This window comes from Homo sapiens, chromosome 7 (genome assembly GCF_000001405.40).
Source record: "Homo sapiens chromosome 7, GRCh38.p14 Primary Assembly".
Lineage (NCBI taxonomy): Eukaryota > Metazoa > Chordata > Mammalia > Primates > Hominidae > Homo > Homo sapiens.
In genome coordinates, this window is record NC_000007.14 from 49,824,551 (window position 1) to 49,840,568 (window position 16,018).

A 16,018-nucleotide genomic window follows, 5' to 3' on the forward strand; every position below is an offset into this window, starting at 1 on the left:
CAGCATATTTTAAATTTAGCTTGTCAAGTTCTACAAAAACCCTGTTTTGATTTTGGTTGAGTTTGCATTTAATTTACAGATTAATTTTGGAAAAACAGACATCTTAACCAGATTGAGTTTTTCAGTCTACAAACATGGCATATCTCTTCATTTATTTAGATATTTTAAAATTTCTCTCAGTAATATTTATGGTTTTTATTATACAGGTTTTGCATATCTTTTGTTATTCTTAATATTGAATGGAAATGTTTAAATTTAATTTCAATTTCCAGTTGTTTGTTCCTTCAGTATAGAAATATATTTGATTTTTATTAATCTTGTATTTCCTACCTTGCAAAATTCTCCAAACCTGTGAAATTTTCATTTATTATTTACTGAGTTATTTTTCTGTTTCTTTTTCTCTTTCCTACTCTTCCTAAGCCCAAATTATACATATGAAAACTTCTTATTTTATCCCACAGGTCTTTAAGGATTTGTTTATTTTCCCTGTATCTTTTTTTCTTTCTGTTCTTTACATTGGATAATTTATACTGGCTTATCTTCAAGTTGATTAATTCTGTCTTCTGCCCTCTATAATCATCTGTTGAGTTAATTTAATGAGTTTTTCATTTCAGTTATTGTACTTTTCAATTCTAGAAATTCCATAAAATCATTTTTATAGTTTTCATTTCTTCATGTTGATTATCTCTCACTCATTAAGACTCATTAAGATCACATTTTCCTTAAAATCTTTAAACATCCCTTAATAGCTACTTTGAAGTCTTTGTCTACAGAGCACAACATCTAGGCTCTCTTGGAGTCCATTTCTTTAGTTTTTTCTCCTTCAGTATGGGGCATACATTTGGTTGATACATTGCAGCAACTCTGGGTTCTGTTGTTGTTTCTTCTGAGGATTGATGGTTTTCTGCTCCTGCCTGGAATCACAGTGTGGATATAGATCTCCTTTATTATTTGCCTAGTTCTTTTTGCTTACAGCTGCTTCTAAATTGGCCTGGACCTCTTCAGAATTCACTGTGCCTGTGAAGGTTAGTGGTCAAGCAAAGTACTTGTGCAGTTTATGCTGGCATTTTGGGCCCAGCCATTTTCTGTTTCCTTGCTTCCATGTGCTCCTCCTCACTTCCCAGCTGCTCTGCTAATCCCAGCTGTAAGGCTTTGCTTTCTATTACCTGAACTGCAGGTGAGTTGGGAAAGTTGTACAATCAAAACAGCAACAAGAAACTGATGTTTCTTAATGCACTTTTGTCCTTTAATGATAGACTCTTCTCACATTTACACCTACTTTCTGGCCACCTCCTCAGACTCCTCACTGTACATGCTTATTCCTCGGTTGGCCAGAGTTACAGGCAGTTTGTACTGATTTGGAGTCTTACCCTTTCTTTGGCTTTCTTACTTCAGTGATCCCCACCACCCCCATATTTGCAACTGTTCTGCCAAATCTGACTCTGTCCTTGAGGCAGTAAGACTGTGATTTCCTGTGACTCCAGTAGAAAGAAAGGGTTGACAAAAACCCACCACAGGCAAAAAAGCCACAAACTCATGATTCTTACCCTTTGTTGTAATCGTCTGTTTAGAGTAAACTCTGCTAGGTTTTCTGCCTGCTTTTGGTGGCTTTCTACCTTCCAATAATTATTCCTTCTGTCTGGTTTTCATCACTGCTATCTGGGGGACAGTTTTTCAGTGACGCCATCACCATTACCAGAAGTCTTCCATTTTTAGTCTCCAAGAAAATGAAGACACAAGAAATCTTTAACAAGTGAGTTATTTTCACATATAAAATTTTGTATCCAAAAAAGAATAATCTCCTTTAAAACATCTTAGAGCATTTTTTAAAAAAGGATCATGCATTAGGTCCCTCAAAAAAACTAGTGGACTGAAAAAGGTGAGACTCACAGACAGTCATTCAATAATTTTCAGTCAAGAACCTGTTATATACAGGTGTGGTTCTAACTATAGCATTGCAGATGAACAAGCCAGAGTCTTTAGAAGTGCACAAATGTATGTCCTAAAAAATTTCAGTAGAAAAAAATATTGTCTTAATCATTTTTGCTTAAAGAAGAAATCATACTAAAATTATGTGCTGTTTAGAAACAAAGTAAATACTACATGTCAAAACCAGTAATACTTTTAAATATTAATGTCTTGTTGTATACTACAAATCTGGTAGGAAATTTTTGGTGGTTTCATTTAAAAGGTTTTTAATAGATTTCTTATATGTTTAACTGATGTTTCAAATGTTTGAAAATATTATCACAAAAGATAACTAAGTCGTTTAACAGACTCTGGCCCCTGATGGGTGGACTATATAAATATACTTTTTTTTCCTAGCAAGTACCATGTATCATTTATGCCTTATGATAAATTTATGATTATATGAATTCGGTGTATTTTCTTAGGCAAAATTTTTATCTTTAGCATGTTCAGTATTCCAAGTCAGGAAAAAATAGTTTATTCATAATTGTTTTATTAATTGCTTATATACACTTATACATAAGAATACACATTTCATTTTCATAATATTCCCAAGTTTTTACATATGCTTATTACAATTTTGAAGTTTTAAAATTATTTCTTGCTTTGTATGATTTTGTATATTCTGTTAATACAGTTATGTCATATTGCAGTTGTGCTTATGAATAGGACTCATATTTGTATGTTTAGATTTTAAGTACTTTTCTGTATTCTCTAGTTTTTATTGTCAATTCTGACATTTTATACTCATGCTAGTAGAGTGAAGCTTTGCCCATTTTTTAGTATTTATATAATGCATTTTGACTTTAAGTGTTATTGTATAGTGACATACTTTCAAATTTTTTTTAATTCATATTAATTCCAGGAAGTGCCTTCTTTTTTATAGAAAAGTCCAGCCCATTTTGGTATTTTATACCAAATATAAAATGGTCCTATTGGAGAATAGGACCCCATTCTCCAATATGTTCAATATTGTAACTAGCCTTTGTTGTCTCTTTTTATTTTATGTTGTATAAAACAATAACTTTTTATTTTTCTTTGTATTGGATGGGAGGTAATTGCATGTTATTAAATTCATTTTCTAGGATTTATTATGCCATTATTTTCTACCATTCTTACAGTTATACTGTATTAATAATAATCACCATTTAAAAGGTCCACCATGTACAAGAGCAATTCTAAGGCTCCTCTTAATAATGGCCTGTTTATTTCATGTCTCACCTCTTTTTTAGGGGACTTCTCTAAATTGGGCATTGGTATAGCCTTCTCTGGACACCCCATTATATCTTACCATTTAGTATTTTACTGTAAAATGCAATACTTACTGGTCTTTGTTTTTTCAGAATGCATTTTGCTTTCTTATATATTCTGATCAAGTCTTTTATTGAGACACGGTTTACATACAATAAAATGCACAAATCTTGATCATTCAATTAAGTATTGATAGTTACATACTTCCACCAGCCATCATCCCAGAATGTGCCCTCATGCACATTACCATGTAATTCCCATCCCACCCTACCTGCCAGAAATACCTACTTCCAGTTTCTTTCTCTAGATTATTTCCGCTTGTTCAGAGACATCATGTAAGTAGAATCTTACATGAGATGTTTTATATCTGGCTTTTTTCACTCAGCATAATATTTTTGAGTTTCATCCGTGCTGTGCCTATTTGTATTTTGGTTCCTTTTTTGGCTGAGTAGTATTCCGTTGTACAAATAAACCACAATTTGTAAGTGCATTCTTTTGCTTATGGATCTTTGGTTCCTTTTCAGTTTGGAACTATAATGAATAAAGTGCTATGAATATTTTGCACCAGGATTTTTGTGGACATACACTTCTATGGCTTACAAGTAAACACTAAGGTTTTTGCAAGTAAACACTAAGGTCATGGGGTAGGTCAATGTGAAAAGTTACAAGAAATTACTAATTTTCAAAGGGTTTGTACTATTTTACACTCCTACCAGCAATATGTGAGTGTTCTAGTTGCTAAACATCCTCACCAACACTCAGTATTGTCAGTCTTTCTAAAATTGTCCATTCTAGTGGGGTGTGGTGGTATCCTGTGTGTGTTGAGCTGGGTCTGGGCTGTGCTACTGCGTAGTTAGACTTAGTTCTGTATTTACCATGTCTTTTATTTTTTGTATTCTGATACTTTGACATCTGGAGCCTCACTGCTGCTAGACGGACGGCCTCTCCCACGGTTAATCAGTTCTGAGAGGTAGTAAACAACTTGACAGAGAGCAGGCTTTTCAAATATAAGCAACCAATCCAGAGCCCACTCCCTCCACCACCTCCTGGTTGTCCTGTAAGCAGGCTCTTACACTCTGGGCCACTGTACCCTGCCCTAATACTCACCTAGGGCCAGGTCCCAGGGATAGCCCGGGTGCCCCACAGCCCACTGAAATGATTCAGACTAGTCAATGCTAAGCCTGCTTGCTCTGCTCTACCAATTCCTTCCCACGGAACCCACACCAAGGCTCTTGCCCACAGCTCCTCTCTCTCTCTCTGCCTCATGGCTAACCCTGCCGCTTCCCAGTGGTCCCCTGAGGGTGGTGTCCCTCTTCTATTGGGACCTATGAGTAATGAACTATCTTGCAATGAGAGTTGTCTCCTGATCTGTTGGCCTTATTGTACCTCAACTTTCTGTTAATACACTATATTTTAAAACAATTCTTCACTGGCTTAAAATGTTGCAAGGCTGTATCAGGATTTCTCTTTAGCAGTGCTTAGAATCTGAACACCAATGTGACTTGAGGTTTTTTAGAAAATCATATCCCAGTGACCAGCTTTCTGAACTCTTAGAGTCTCTCCCCATTTACAACCTGCCAGAGTTTTGGGTTTCTAGGGAGTTCCTTGTTCTCCAGCTTTGCTCATGAGTCCCAGTTCTTCAGTGGCCTCTCTCTCCTCTGTGTCCCATGGAGTCATCCATAGCACCCCCGGTTAAGATTCTGGCAGCCTGGCAGGGTATCTGGGCATTCATGCCCTTCCCCTAATATCCCCGTTCATTTGTTGAAGCTCATGGGAAAGGGCTGATGTTTGGCTGCAGACTCATTCCATGGCTGGTGCTCTTCTGGAGTCCAACGCATCACGCCAGCCTACACACACCCTTTGAAGTTTGTGATCCCATTGTCTCCTTTCTCCTTAGCCCTGCCTAAACAGCCTTCTTCCTCTCCCTTCACATTGCCAGTGAGGAGGGCAAGCTGTGTTATGCCTTTCTGCATTTAGTCCACCTGGATCTCTTTGCATCTTCAGCTCTCTAATGAGTAAATACATTAAACAAACAACAATTACAACAAGAGTCTGTGGTTTCACAGTTTATCCAGCTCTTTCTGTTAGGATGGGAATGGCCATCTCTGGAGACTCTTTATCTGCTACCTGGAAGCAGAACTTCACGTTGATTGATTTATGTGTCATTAACTATCTTTTGGGTTATTGTAATTTTTTCAGTCGTACTCAGATCTCTATTGCTGCTTAGGAAGATTTTTTACAGTCATGGGACTGTGTTTACAGATTTTCTTTTTCATGTCTTCCAACTACTCTATATTTTTCTTCCTTCAAAAGAAAAGTCAACATAACTGAATGTAGTACTTGTAGTGGAAACTTGCTTTTTTCTTTTGACTGTTCAGCTCTTCCCTGTGGTTCTCTTCCTTTTCAAAGTCTCCAGGAAGAAATCTTAGGCATTATCCTTTTTGTCCTTGGCAAGTTGTAGAATCTTTTATTAATCTTTAAAATTTGAAAAAAAAAATTTAACAAGTAGGAGTCCTGGAACAGAAGTTGTTTCCTTAAGAATTTGCTCTTCACTGGGGGGTGATGAGGGCTCTCTGTTGTCAGAAGTCTCTGGTTTCTCTGGTATCTAGACTTTATCACATGTTGTACTGCTGGGATTTGATTTCAAAATTCGTTAATTCACCTTGTATTATTATTGTTATTCCTGTCCACAGTCTGATGGTAATTTTCCTGGGCTAGTTTTATTTAACGCTACTCTTTCAGGTTTTCTCTTTTTTATTATTATTATACTTTAAGTTCTAGGGTACATGTGCACAATGTGCAAGTTTGTTACATATGTATACTTGTGCCATGTTGGTGTGCTGCACCCATTAACTGGTCATTTACATTAGGTATATCTCCTAATGCTATCCCTCCCCCACCCCCTCACCCCACGACAGGCCTCGGTGTGTGATGCTCCCCTTCCTGTGTCCAAGTGTTCTCATTGTTCAATTCCCACCTATGAGTGAGAACATGTGGTGTTTGGTTTTTTGTCCTTGCGATAGTTTGCTGAGAATGATGATTTCCAGCTTCATCCATGTCCCTACAAAGGACATGAACTCATCCTTTTTTATGGCTGCATAGTATTCCATGGTGTATATGTGCCACATTTTCTTAATCCAGTCTATCATTGATGGACATTTGGGTTGGTTCCAAGTCTTTGCTATTGTGAATAGTGCCGCACTATTTCTTTCTATTCAGTTGTTCATACCTTCTGGAAAGTTTGTTAATTACCCAGCCTCCACCCAGACATGACTGTTTTAGCAAGCCCAATACAGTGCCACGTGCTTGTCTGCATCTAAGGTGGTAATCACTCTTCTTTGGCTTTGGCTGAAGAAGTGACAAAACACCTCCAGAAGCTCCCTGTGGCTCCAAGTTGAGGGCGCCCATCTCCAGCCACTTGCTCTTCTCCTAAGGGCTTATGGTGGTGGCTATCTTCTTTTGTAAATTTCTCATTTTTGAAGTCATTCTCATTATTTTGATGCGGATTTTGTTTTTTGAAATGTTAAACCCTGTGTTTTAGACTGTCAGTAATTTGAATTTTTTATTTTTTCTCAAGCAACTGTAAAAAGGACTATTCCATGCTCTCTGAACACTAGAATTCAGGAATGCTGTAACAAACGTATTTACTAACCTGGAGAACATGTAGGGACTTCAGGGGAGAAATATTATGATACTTGAGTGCTTATTTTGTGGAAAAGGAAGTAGATTTATTCTGCATAGCATGATAGGGCGCACATGGGTAGAATATACAGGTGGCAGATTTTTGCTCAGTGTAAGGAGACACTCCTCATACCGAGGGCTACCCCCAGTGAAACAGACACTAAGGAAGCAACAATTTCCAGGTACTGGAGGTGGGAGGGCAAAGGCTCATTGGCCATGTTTTAGCTACAATGAGAAGAGTTCCTGACTCTGGCAGTGATAAGAAGCATTCAGTTCTGTCAACAAGGTGATCAACCGCAAAATAAAAACATAAACCCAAACTTAGCAAGAAGAGACTTTTATTCAGAAGGATTTTTACAATAATAAAAGACTATTGCAAGTGGAAGAACAGAAGATCTTTAAGCAACTCCAGAACTTAGGCAAAAAGAGTTTCTTTCTTTCACAGACAGGAGTCAACAAGGCTAGAAAGAACCAGGCATGGGGAATTGAGATGAAAAAGTAGCATCATCAGATAGTAGACAGATAATATTTTCCCTGAGGCCAGCCTGTTCTCAGGAGGGGCATCGGCTGCTCAGGCTGAGGGGTCCCTGGAGGAAGGTTAACAAGCATTTTGTTCAGTTGATCAGTGGGGACAAAGCAGTTCAGCTAATTATTTATGAGGCAGAAAAATGGGAATTTGCAAGGTCTTTGTCTTTTTCACAGGGAACAAGGGGGCATCCACACATCTAAGTCATATGAGAGGGGTGAGTCTTTGCTGTAAGCTGTTTTTAGGGATACAAAAGAGTGGGATATTCCTTTACCACATCAAAAGACAAAATTATAAGAAATTTTGTTTAAAGATCTAATTAGCTTTTATTTGCTATTCTAGAATTGAGCATCACCTCATTCTATTTTCTGAGAAACAGAATTTGCTGAGAAATAGAACCTCATTCTATTTTCTGAGAAATAGAGAATTCTATTCTCTATTTTCTGAGAAATAGAATGAGGTTCCTATGAGCTGATCAGAGGAGGTTGGCTTTATAGGCAGAAAGGACTTAAGGAAGCAGAAACAGGGAACAAAAAGTGTATTGGTCATTTGAAAGTTACTTTCCTTACAGGGTTAAAACAGAGGGAACTTCCTTATTGTGCTGAACCAGGTTGACTGAAATCTCCTGTTTTTTAGGAAAACTGACCTATTTCAAACTTCTGTTTGGTTCCATGGCACTTAGCACAAGTCTGTCTATTCTGGTCTGGTCTGGTCTGCTGGGGCCTAGTGCAGGAGGCTGGTCCAAGCCAACAGCCTCTCATCAACTGTGTTTAACAACATTCAGGTAAAATTCTACATTGCCAAGACTTTGTCAAGCTATATTAACTTCTTGGCAATGTGCTCTGTCCAGTTGTCATTTAGCTTTCTTTGGTCATTTGCCAAGTACCTCCAGGCACTTCACTAGGCTCTAAGGTTAAAAGTATGGATCAGAAATCAACCCTGCTCCAAGGAGATCACAGTCTAAAAGTCTTCTCTGGAGAAGTACACTTCCAGAATTGCAGCTATAAGCCCTGTACATCCTGAGTTGGAAATGTGAAAAGTCCAGAAGTCAAAATGACCAGAGTAAGGGCTAAAGATCAAAGGATACTATGAAGGTTAGGCTAATAAGACGTGCTGATGCATTGCATTTGGGCATGAGAGAAAGGAAGGTTTCCAGGTTAACTGCAGGGCGTTTAGTGTCAGCAACTAAATGAATGGGATTGATGTTTATTGACACAGAGAAGAATGTGGGTGTAACAGGAGGTAGTGGAGGGAGATGCAGAGTTCAGTTTTGTCTGTGGTAAGTTGATAAGTCTATTAGAAGTCTGAGTAACTTCTTCAAGTAGAGATTTGGAGTTTGGAATTCAGAGATGGGATCCAGGCCAGAAAGATGAATGTGGAAGTGATAATGAGCCAGCATGTTCTGCCCCTTGCACAATAAGCCAATCACTGAGATAACAAGTTTTGCAGTAGAGAAAAGATTTTATTCACAAAGCAGCCAAACAAGGAAGTGGGAGAACACCTCTCAAATCCACCTCCCTGAAGATGGGGTCTTACAGATATTTATGAGATAAAGGAGCAAGGTGGTCCAACGCATTAGGAAAGGTGATTGGGAGTGAGGAAAAATGAGGTAATCAGTGGTCCATGCAAATGTAGTCAAGCTTCATGGCTCTTTATGGAATACATCTTCACAAAATGGCATCATTAACATCATCTGAGAGTGATATTTTTGTCCCTCTAATGTTAGAAGATCACTCATTGAACATTGCTGCAGGGAATCAACCCTGTCCAGTTGGAGGGTCAGTGGTCTCAGATGGCTTGAACCAGACAAGAGTTGACCCCAAGTTCCTGAAAAACAATGTAAGCAACTTACCATCGTAACTTATAGATTCTATCTATAAGTCAGGCAGTGGGAATTTAGTTATATATTGTTTAGCTCATGACTTTTAGCTATATAGGTTTCAAGATCAACTAGAAAAAAGGAACTAAAAGCAACCAAAGCAGATAAAGTTTTGCAGGATCATCAGCTTAGCTGTTAATTTCAGAGGTGGCTTGTGGATCATCACATCCAGAAGTCATAAAGTTGATTTCATACCATGGGAAGCGTATTGGCTGAGCAAAACCAGCAGTGATAATGATTCTACTGGTTTCTAGGCTGATGGGTAGACTTGGGAGTAAAGGAGCCCTTCTATTTTCCACCACAATACTCTCTGATCTGTGCGCAGGGCTGTTCTGGTTAGCTGAATATCACCGTGTGGGTTATGTGGGCCTTGAGGCAAACTTCAAGGTTGACCTGATGCAGTTCATTGGCATGTTCTCTTGTCCTCTATTCATTATCCCCAGTGGCTAATTCATTTCCAGGGGACTCTGTGGGAATCAAATAGTTCAATTATATGGAAAATGAATCTAGGCAGAGAGCTTTCATCATACATTAAGAAGTCCATGCTGGAAACAAGATACAAAACTATCAAAGTAGGACTCCAATTATGTAAATATATATTCATGCAACAAGTGAATGAGCAAGTGGGGATTATTCCACAGATCTGTTAGTCCTACTGAGTGTCAGTCTGTATTATATGCTGAATTATCAGTAGAAAATAGGGTTTCTGGTCACGTGGCAGATGGAGCTGAGGTTCATGAATCCTTCCTACTGCAAACACGAAATGCCGAGTAAATGCTGAATATATTTGCCTTTAAAATATCTAGCTTAGTTTGGAAAAAATAAAATTCCCCAGGTGCTAGAAATCAAGTAAGAAGCAAATCCCAGAGTAATATCAGACAGGCAATGCCATGTGATTCTGGGGGTTTGGGACTGGCTGGAGGCCCCAAGGATTGGAGTCGTGATCTCACATGGGGACAGGAAATTTGGCTGTAAATGCTTGTGAGTCAGAAGACCTGGAGCCACCCTCTGCATACAGTTGTTAATCTAAACTGTGTGTGGTGGTGGTGGAGGCCAGGATGGGGGAGATATTGTCAACCTAAAGATAGAAGCTGAGGAAAAATTAATATAGAAAGTGTATTTGGGTCAAGGTTGAACACAGCAGCCTAGGACACAATTCCAAGTTGCCTTGGGGAGTGCTCCTTTGTTACAGACAGGTTCTTAAAGGCAAATGGGGACAAAGAGTGCCCTGATACAAAGTTGTTTGCCTAGAATTCTCACTGGTTTATAGCGGTAACATTGGTCAGTGATTGGCTATTCATTGTTGAACTATAGGGTAGAGGACATAGTGTCCAGCATATGGCATTTTATGGCTACTGGACATCAGTTAGTCCAGAGCCCACCTAGCAAGTGGCTTCAAGCAGTAATTATTTAGTTCAAGGAGGAATGAGAGGTGACTGATGTAATTAGTCCTGATAATTAAAGGGGGCTCACATTCCTCAGATGAAGTTTCTTTTCTTTCTCAGTATTTAAGCTAGTGACACATGTGGGCTTGGGTGCAAATTTTCTTAAATGCATGGTGGGGGCTGGGATGACCAGGGTCAGTAATTTTTAAAGAGAATCAGGACTGAACACTTGTTAAAGAGGGCAAGACAGATTGTATTCAGACAGCTGCAGTAAGGGAGACAATCCAGTATAAACTGAGCTCAACTTCAACTAAGACCAAGGTGGCTGAGGTTTTTAAAAGGAGGACGGAGAGGGAACAAAAAGGAAGAACAAAAAAGAAACTTGGAGCCTATGAAGAAATGGAAAATTACAGAAGGGGCTCAGTGGAGAATTACTGAAAAAGTGGTGTGGCAATTTGTGTTGCGTCCACGTGCACTTTAGGGTTTGGCAGCATTGTGTTAAAGCAATGTAATTTATAAGTAAAATGTATGATTGATGGATTGACTGATACTGGAAGGAAATTATAAACTATTGGCATTAGCTATCTCTCTTTGAACCTTTTGCTTCTTCTTTATATATTTTTCGAATTTGTTATAATGACCATTTTTTTAATTGTATGAAACAAAAAGTCATGGTATCACGACTAAATTTCTTATAAAAACAAACAATGATAAATTAAATTGCTTTAGAAGAAAATACAATTTTCTGGTTATTGATTCCTAGGCATTAAATCATAATTTGCAAATGATAATGAATAGAAGCCAGAGAAAGGGAGTTTGCTAGTTAATTTGTTTTCATTCTGAGTTCAGATAGAAGTCTGTGTTGCTGTTCTCAGATTATTCCATATGGCATCACATCATCAAATTTAATTTGGATAGAATATTTTAGGCAGATACATTCAATCAATAATTGTATTCATATTTGTAAAACCAAACTGAATTTTTTTCTACTAACATGAACTAAGAGATAAATGTGTAGGCTGATGGTTTGCATTAATATTTTTACACTTAAATTTTTGGTCTGTGACTTATAGTGAAATGATATTTAAAATCTATACTTAAGTGTGGACTGGGCATGGTGACTCAGGCCTGTAATCCCAGTACTTTGGGAGGCAGAAGTGGGCAGATCACTTGAGGTAGCGAGTTCAAAACCAGTCTGGCCAACATGGTGAAACTCTGTCTCTGAAAAAAAAAAAAAAAAACTATGAAAATTAGTGAGGCATGTGGCAGTTGCCTGTAATCCCAGCTACTCCAGAGGCTGAGGCAGGAGAATTGCTTGAACTCCAGAGGCGGAGGTTTCAATGAGCTGAGATCTCCCCACTGCACTCCAGCCTGGGCAACAGAGCAAGACTCCATCTCAATAAATAAATAAATAAATAAATAAATAAATAAATAAATAAATACAAAAAATCTATACCTAGGTGTGCATGGATTTATAAAAAATCTTTCTTGAGGCCTAGAAAAAATCTTTTAGGTTTTTTGTATGCAAATAATATAGATACATTACAAAAGAAACCAAACCACTGTTTAGTTGTAGATATATGTAGATTGGTTTGGTTTCTTTAGTAAGTTGTATCATATATTCTTCTCAGAGAGCATCCTCACTTGATATGTCACAATTAGATCAGAGTTTGACACCACCTTTTTCCTACCCTTGAACAAAATGTCAAAAATCATGAGAATGTGTGCACAACTAATTACTGAAGTATATAGTCACTAAATGCTTGAAATTTAGTCTTTGAAGTTTAACTTATTTGATTTGTGTGACATTAAAAATTGACTTTACAGATGATCATATGTGGCAACTATTGAAGTGAGTTGAGAACCTTAACCAAAATGACCCAGTTCTTTTCAAACATTTTTATTAAACATATTCCATAGAGATGTGCAGACTTTAAATTAAGAATTGCAACTGTGATATTCAATGAGGGAATATTTAAATAACCAGAGCACTGTGAGACTCAATGAACCATGCAAACATTTTGGATATTGGCTTGAGGAATAGAACTTAATTAAATTTAGACATTCTTAGAGTAATTGCTGAAAATTGTGTCTATCTTTTGCAAAACCTGGTATTAAATGCAAGGAAACCAATAACAAGTCACCTCGATGATGTGCCTACTGTGTCAGGCAATAGTATAAGTGCCCCAGAACATGTGAAGGACTTTTGGGTCCCCCCTTATTAGCTTAAAACAGAAGAGGTATCTTTCACTTTGAGTTTTGCCTTGGAATCCCTGAAGGCCGGGGGAGGTCATGGGGAGAGTTCTGGACATGGACTCAGGACGTCTGATCAGTCATGGCACTTGCTGGATTTACAGTCTCCAGGGAATCACTTGCATTTTTGTGAGGGAAAAATTTTAAAGTTATGAGATTTGAGAGGAAGAAGGAAAAAAGATAAATTGAATGGCAAGGTTATGCCTCCAAATGCTTTCCAAATACTTACTTACCAGAGATGGAATACAAATTTCATTTTGAATTTTCCAGTAGCCGAGGGGGTGGAAATCTAATCGATCGCACAATCCATGATGCTGATAATAAAAATAAAGATGTGTTGCCTAGGAGGAGCATATTTATTTCTTATTTTGAGACCTGAGAGAAATCTTCCCATTAGTCCTTATGATATAATGAAAAATTTTTTCAAATCCTTACAGAAAATACAAACATAAAGTTCAAAAATCTGCCTATAACTTTCTTCCCTGTACATTGATGGGATAGTGTCACATGCAGCTCACTGGAAGCAATTCAAAGGGAAGTCAATGCTATCCAGTCCAGATGTGCAAGTCCCAAATGGACTGGTCTGGCCCAAGTATTGAGTTCACTCTAGCTAGGGGGACAGAGGACTGAAGATCCTGAAGGCTGTCTTCCCTATCCCCCCATCTAATGCCAGCCTGTGTGAATTAGGAGGCAGAGGCAGGGCTTATAACCTCAGTAACGTAAGTACATGCTGGGAGCACACAACCGTAAAAGGCAAAATGCTCTATGGATGTGAGACATTTCTCACTTGAGATTCTTGAACAATATTCTGTTAAACACATAATGAGACTTATCTATTATCTCTTACTTTTTTTCCAGCAGATTGGTGCACTTTTTCATTTCCTTAGGAATAACTAATTGGACTTTTAGGGGAGTACAGATGTTGACAGAGTGGGGTCAGGAGACAGTAGGATTGAAGCAGACTCCGGTCTTTTGGGATCTTGTCAGTGGAGGATGGGAGCCGGGAGGCTGCCGTGCTGAGGATGTGAGTGCTCACAGCTAGAGTTCTCCCAGGGCTAGCACAGGAGGGCCTGTGTCTCTGGGACAGGCTGCAGAGCATCCTACAGCGCTTGAGTAGACGATGCCCTTGGAGTAGAACGTGGCTCCGTACAAGCAGTGTTTTGAGGGAAGGATTAACCAACATCTCCATAAGGTTACAAGGGACATAGTAATAGCTACAATTTATTTTTTAGGACCTAAAAGTTTCCAGGATTTTCCAGGAGCTTTTTAACTTATATTAAATCATTTAAGCCTTACAGTAACACTATGAAATCAATATAATGTACATTTTACAAATCAGAAAACAAGGCTGAGAGGTGATATATAAGTTGCCCAAAGTCACACAACTGTTAAGATGTGCTAGGAACTGAATTGTGTCCTCCTAAAATTTGTATATTGAAGCTTTAATCCCCAGTGTGACAGAATTTAGAAATAGGGCCTGTGAGGGAGGTGATAAAGTGTAAATGATTTCCCGATGGTAGGGCCCTTCTCTGATAGGAGTGGGGCCTTTATGTAAGAAGATAAAGAGACCCCAGAGCCCTCCCTGTCTTTTTTGTGATGTGAGGACACAGTGAGAAGGCAGCTGTCTGTAAGCCAGGACAAGAGCCCGCACCAGACAAGAACCCACCTGTATCTGCATCTGGAAATTTCCAGCCCCCAGAACTGTGAGAAATACATTTCTGTTATTTAAGCTACCCAGTCTGTGATATTTTATTATGGCAGCACCAATATAAGAATGAAAGGCAGAATTTAAATTTGGCCTGTGTGTCCCCTGAGGTCTAATTGATACCATGGTACTTCTGCAGCAATGGGGATAACTTACAATATGTGATGTCATTTAATTTATATGCTCGTTTAAAACATGCTCTAATGCCATCAAATTTGAGGACAACCAAAGCTTCACTTGTTAAGAAATGTCTTTTATCCCTCCAAAATTTCTTGTTTGAACTGAATGATGTTTCACATTCTCATGATTAAAGCAGAGAGAAACCAATATAATAATTGTTGAGAAACCTAGGGGAGGTTTCACCTGGACAAGATCTGGCTGGAGGATTACCACCTTCAAACAAGAGCCAAAAAAAAAAAAGAGGTTTTCTTTGTCTGTTGCCAGAGATCTCTCATGTGGTACCCATGGTTAGAAGGCTGAGGACTATGTATGTTGGATCCATGCAAGTGGGAATTTGTAATATTTGAAAATGGCCAGAGAGGAAAGAGCTGCGTGCAGAAATAAAGCCACTTCACAAACGGGGCCTTTGACATGAACTCAAGTTAGGAGTGAGAACCACATGTTTCAAATCGTGACGTCCCATGTCTCTAGAGCCTAAAGTTAGAAGCATTCAAAGAAGATCTGGTGGTTCCAAGCTAAGTTTTTGTTGTAGCTGTTTTCCCAAATGAATGATTTCTAGGATCAGATCATGTTTTCCTAAAGTCAAAGCTGTGGCGAGGGCCCAGGCAGTAAGGTCTGTTTCCAGGAAATGGGTGCTGGGACGTGTCTATCTCGCCTCATGGACAACCCTGGCCCACGGGCTGACCAGGCTTCCGGAGCAGGAGCGCCTTTACTTGGCTCTCACTTTGCACCTCACTTTCCACCCGAGGAGAGCCTGTCTGAGAAGAGTGACTGTTCTTCCGTCAGTGGTAGAGAAAACCTAGGAAGCTATTTTCGAGAGAGTTGTAGATGAACAAATATGTTTCTTTGGATGCTAAATGTAAACTATGAAAATGACTATGGTGTTCTAGAGCTGTGGGGAATGTCTGGTGGTATGGTGGAGGGGCACGGAGTATAGGAAATTCTAGCAGTCATGCAGCAGATCATCAGCAGTGCTGAGGTTTTAATTGCATGTACTGTCTGCCTCGCAGGGGCCCATCACATCTGATTAGTGACTGATTCCAGATCCATCATTTGTTTATCAGGATGTGCCAGCTGCTGCTTGGTAGCCCCCAGCATGGTGGAAAGCCGTTTTATAAACCTCAAGTGCTGTGTAATAATGTTTAGCGGTGGGAGGGGGTGACTATGGATCACTGAGCACAAATCAGTCA

At 38.8% G+C, this 16,018-nt stretch overlaps 1 protein-coding gene across 5 annotated transcripts in view; it reads left to right on the top strand.

Moving 5' to 3' along the window:
- The window catches only part of VWC2 (von Willebrand factor C domain containing 2), a 148,568-nt gene that overhangs the window by 50,913 nt on the left and 81,637 nt on the right, over positions 1 to 16,018 (top strand). The window lies entirely within an intron of this gene.